The sequence below is a fragment of the Homo sapiens genome, chromosome 5, assembly GCF_000001405.40.
Source record: "Homo sapiens chromosome 5, GRCh38.p14 Primary Assembly".
Taxonomy (NCBI): domain Eukaryota; kingdom Metazoa; phylum Chordata; class Mammalia; order Primates; family Hominidae; genus Homo; species Homo sapiens.
Window position 1 is genome coordinate 144,140,406 of NC_000005.10, and position 5,543 is coordinate 144,145,948.

The 5,543-nt window shown below is 40.5% G+C and overlaps 1 pseudogene; it reads left to right on the forward strand.

Annotated features, from left to right (window-relative positions):
* Positions 476–711, forward strand: RN7SL87P (RNA, 7SL, cytoplasmic 87, pseudogene; annotated as a pseudogene).

Genomic DNA, 5,543 nt, shown 5'->3' on the forward strand with positions numbered 1-5,543 from the left:
TCAATAGTAGTGGTCTCATGGACTTGTTGGCTTATCCTAAATGATAAATCCAAAAGATTCTAGAATGTGTATGTTGTTAATAAATGTGTATGTTTTCATTTCTTTAGCTATTATGGTTATTGTGCCAGTCTTATGTAGATTGTAAGCTCATTGAGATTAACGATCCACTTTTATTTATCTTTGTACCCAAATTAGGTATTTGTTATAGGCTGAATTGTCCTACCTCCCCCGAAATTCATATGTTGTAGTCCTAATCCCCAGGACCTCAGAATATACTGTATTTGGGAGATAAGGTCAACATACAAGGAATTCAGTTAAAATAACATCATTAGGATGGGCTCTAATCCAGTGTAACTGGTATCCTTACAAGAATCAGGAATTTGGACCCAGATACAGAGGGGAGACCATGTGAAGACACAGGGAGAAGATGGCCACCTGAAAGCCAAGCAGAGGCCTCAAAAGAAGTCAACCCTGTCGGGGGCAGTGGTGCGTGTCTGTAGTCCCAAGCACTAGGGAGGCTGAGGCAGGAGGATCGCTTGAGTCCAGGAGTTCTGGGCTGTAGTACCCTATGTTGACTGGGTGTCTGCACTAAGTTTGGCATCAATATGGTGACCCTCCCAGGAGTGGGGGGGGCCATCAGATTTCCTAAGGAGGGGTTAACTGGCCCCGGTCAGAAGGGGAGCAGGTCAAAACTCCCATGCTGACCAGAAGAAATCAACACTGCTGACACCTAAGCTCAGACTTTGAGCCTCCAGAACTATGAGAAAATAACAAGAAGAAATGAATTTCCATTGTTTAAGTCAAAGTCTGTAGGACATTGTTATTGTGATCCAAATAAACTAATACAGTGTTCAAGATTTAGCTCTTAAATAAATGAACTTTCTATGGAAGCCATCCCTCCCTGTGGGTTAGATATTTCTCCTACTTATTGCTGGCACTAACTTCTATCATATCACCCACTTATCACATTTCATTGTAATAATCCCTGTATTTATTATTAGTATATATTATATATTAATATATGGTATAATATATATTACATATGTTGTATATGTTATTATATATTATAATAACATTATATCTGGTGAAAGTGACAGAAAATCTGGTTCAAATAAGATCAAGCAAAATGGAAATCTTCTGACACTTCAGAAGGAGATCTAGCTTTGGGCATGTTTTGATTTAAAGACTCATATTGCATCACTAAGGCCAGTCTCTTTTCATCTCTTAACTGCCTTTCTTCACACTAGTGTCATCCTTAGACTTCATGTCATGGCAAGGCAGCTGCCAACAGATTCAAGCCTACATACTCCCAGGTCACTTGATACTCAAGTTTCAGCAAAATTCCCCAGGTTGCATTTCACTGGGTCAGGCCACACGCTTATCCCTGAAGCAATTAGTGGAAGCAAAGGATGCAACGCTCAGGCCTAGGTGGAATCCATGCCTTGCCAGGAAGTCAGAGGCAGAGTCAGACACCTGAAACCCAAGTACTGAGGGAGGGAGAGAGGGATAGGAGGTGCTTTCCAGAGGAAAATTGAGATCCAGGAGAAGGGAAATGGATGTTGGGTGGGAAATATCAAGTGTTCTTGATGCTTGTTTGTTGCTCTCATATGACTGTTAAGCTCCCAAGGACTAAACAATCCACTTTCTTTATCTTCTGGACCTAGCAAGTTCACTAAATATAAAATAATAGGCACCAGTAAGTGTGTATTGAATGAATAAATGCAGTAGATGCGGCACCATCAATGAAGCATGAGAAAGAGATTTCTGTTCCTGTTGCAACCAGGACAGAGTGGAGTTTCACTTGTCTCCAGAGTTAGAAAAAAGCCTGCAGCCTCACAGCCTGAGCCTGGCCTATAGAGGAAAATGGCCCTCTTCCCAGCAAGTAACACACAGGCAGTTTTGGTGAGACTGTGCATATCAACTTTGTGATCAAATTCTATCTGGATGTGGAAGAGCAGTTGAAAATGAAGATATAAACAAATGAGGAAGGTGTGACAACAGAAACTGTCCTAAAATTTTCTGTTCTTTACTTCAGTCGGCAAGTGGGAATGACATCAGATAGGTTACAGAACCACCTAGTGGTGAAAGAGCATCTATGCTGGTATTATAGTATAGACTTGTGAGGTCTGTGTGTATAATGAGCTTAATCTGCCATCCTGGGTGTGGGGGAATGTTGTGCCTCAGTCACTGAAGGGTCTAGGTGCCCTCCTTGGCTTCTGCCTCTTCTCCTACTTCTGGGAATGCTACTGAGAGCAGGGATTTGGGATAAAATGTGTCACCTATATTGGCTTTTCATCTCTACTTTGTTACAGGAGATGTTGGGGAAAAGAGATGTTGACATGACAAAGGAGGCTGAAAACGTTAGTGAAAATCTCAGTCCAACATGTTCTTCTCACATCTATCAACTCCTACTTTCCTTAGAATCTGTGAGGGTGGGGAACACATGAGGGACTTCCAATTTCTACTTCAAATACTTTTGTACTGTAGGAATCAATTTACAATATGCATGCATTGCTTCTGTGATAACAAAAAAGAGGAACCATTTGAAACAAAGAAATGGATGTCACTTCCTCAGGAGCTTTCCCTGATATTTGAAGAGCAGAGTGCAGAAAACCTGCACTGATCTATCTACAAATCTCCCACATGCATTTTTGAGGTGTACAGCTGGCATTACAAGCATAGACAGTGGCTTTGGCACTAAATGGTGCTAACTTTTTCAGATGGGAAGTTGATCCGTGGACCTTGTTAGCCTGGGAACTCTGATCTTCCCCCAGAGAGTCTTGCTTTGGGCAGTACAATACTACAGGCCCTTGCCCTTGCCCCTCATTCTCAAGGGAGGTGGCTTGCTGCAGTATTCGAAGGAAATGAGGCTGGCAGATGAAGATGACTTGGTACTTCATTCATAAGACGGTAGTCACAATTCAAAATGCAGTCGGTGGCCTAGAAGTGCAGCTCTTTATGATGTTCTACATAAAGAGTTCCAAAGGCTTTAGATCATAATACATACAGCAGAATTACTGATAATTAAGTACACAATATTTAGAAATGTATCATTCCCCAAAGCTGTATTTTGAGGAGGGTAATTTGTGACCTGATGGTTTGGAGAGGGAGAGACACCAGCTTCCAAAATACCAATTAGGAGAGTGTTGTAATAATACAGGGGCAATAACGATGACAATTGCCATGGCAGGGAAAAAAGCGTTTCTTTGCCAGCACTGAATCCTCATTGTGCCCATTACAGTGCCCAGCATAGTGTAGACCACTGATAAGCATTGATTGAATAAACATTTACATAACCTGGATGATTAACCATAGTACTGTAGAGGATGAAGGCATGGGTGAGACTTGAAAGAATACAGAAGACTTGCCTAGTTCAGAGATGTAAGAAGCTATGGGGAGAGAAAATCAAATGATGACTCTGCATTCTTGTTGGTTAGTGGTATGGATGTGAGAAAGAGATGGAAAGGGAGAGAGGGAAAGGGAGAAGAAGAGAGAAGTCAAAAGGGCAACAGGAGATAGGAAGGAGAGAGAGAGAGAGAGAGCAACCCACTGAGAGAGAGAGAGAGAGCACGCAATGTGAAGGGACAGACTTTCAGGGTAGAAGAGGGAGGAAGAGAGGAGTTCCACTGTGCATAACTTGACTTTGAGTTGCCAGTGGGGTATCTTAAAGAAATGTCTAGCAGGCAATTGATAATAGGTATTTGAGCATGAGTGTAGTGTTGGTGTTTGGGATATAAACTAGATAGATCTAACATGGAGGCAAAAGTTGAATCTGTAAAAGCAAACAAACTGTCTTGGAGGGCAAGATGTAAAGAGAAAAAACAGGGCTCAGAATTGAGTTCTTAGAAACACTCACTACTTCAAAATGTATTGGGAACGCTGGATAAACTTGAAGGTGACAAGTTTCTGCAGTTGCCAGTTGGACTCTTCTTTACCAAAGGCTAGGTAAAATTACTTGATATTTTGAATGTAGACTATATAGAGAGTTATTCAAAGCCAGGTATAAAGTGGAAAATCCTGAGGTACACAGAAGAAATAAAATATTCCCAACTCTTATTTGTGCTTTGTTTTAAAATTCTCAAAAGCAACTCCAGGTTCTTCAGTTAAAAAGTTTACAGCTAAAGTTTGCTGTCGTTTTAGTCCGTTGGAGTATCCTTTTTCCCTTCTATTTTTGCTTTTGTCTCCACTTTGTAAAGAGGTTGCTGAAACCTGTGCATCGAATTCTTTACAAAGCAACCCAGCCACTAAGGGACAATCAAAAAGGAAGCACAGTGCATTTATAACAACTTTGCTGGGAATTGGTGGGAGGGGAACCCAAAAGGAGTGCTGTCTAGATCAATGACCCCAGAGCACTGGGATAAGTTAATTGGCAAACCATGAAGGAACATAATGGGAGAACCAAGAGGGGCTTAAGCAACCTTTTTAGGATTAAAGGATAATACCTTTGGCAGTAACCATTTTTCACTTCCTTTCTTCCCAGTGGCCCTCTTCTGGTAAGTTAACAAAAACAGTACTTTCCCAGGTGTAGTCAGACATCTAGAAATAAGAAACTGCCTGGATGAGGTAGCTGCTGAGCACAATTACTGTCTTGGGTAGTGCTGAGGCACCAAAAGGTTGCTGGAGGGCATGTTGAAATAAACATACATCACTTTTACTGATGCAAGAGGAAACAATTTCTCTACCAGGGGTGTGTATATGTGTGTGTGTATGTGAGAATGTGCGTTACCAGCATCAATTTGGATAGGTAAATGGAAACGTGATTACTCCACAATGATGCAAGTATGATGGAAACAATGCACTTTTCACCAAGTAGATATCACATGGAAGCAGGACCCAGGTGTTTCCTTTCTGAAGGAAACTCCCAACAACACTGAACAACACTAAATCCAATGTCAACAATGAAATGCATTGACAGAAAAGTCCAGTGATTCTTAAATCAGATTCTTAAAGGCTTATAACACTGTAAATTCAGCTCATAAAACTGAAAAGGGGAGAAATTAAAAAGTAATCATTTTAATTATCATGTTTGTGTTACATTTAGCCAACCGCTACAATAATATCATTTGGCATGTTCTACTGTAATTAATCCAGTAAGTGTACAAAGTAAACAGATTAGAACTATTTATAGCTCTGAAGCTCAAGTGGAAATGAGATATTGCCCAAGTACAATTACAATAAATATAGGGCTTGTTGACACTCCTTCAAATTATGCTGTTAGGACTTTTAACCCCCCATGTTGTTCTTTAACTGTATCAGCCTTCAGAAAACAAAGAAAATTCCAACAGTGGCTCTCGTCAGACTTATTATCAGATGTACACATCAAAGTGAGTAACCAGGTCCTTGTTTTATTTGAGCCAAATTAGGTAAATCTCATTAAAGATATGCTAACTAACATATGAACACCAGTGCAGTTTTAAAAGAAATCTCTGCAATGAGGTACAAAGAACACATGATTTTATGAGTCAGTCTCACAGAATAAAAGTTATGGTCAAGATTCGTATCATTTACTGCCATAGATGCCTTTAGACCTTTACTGCCATAGA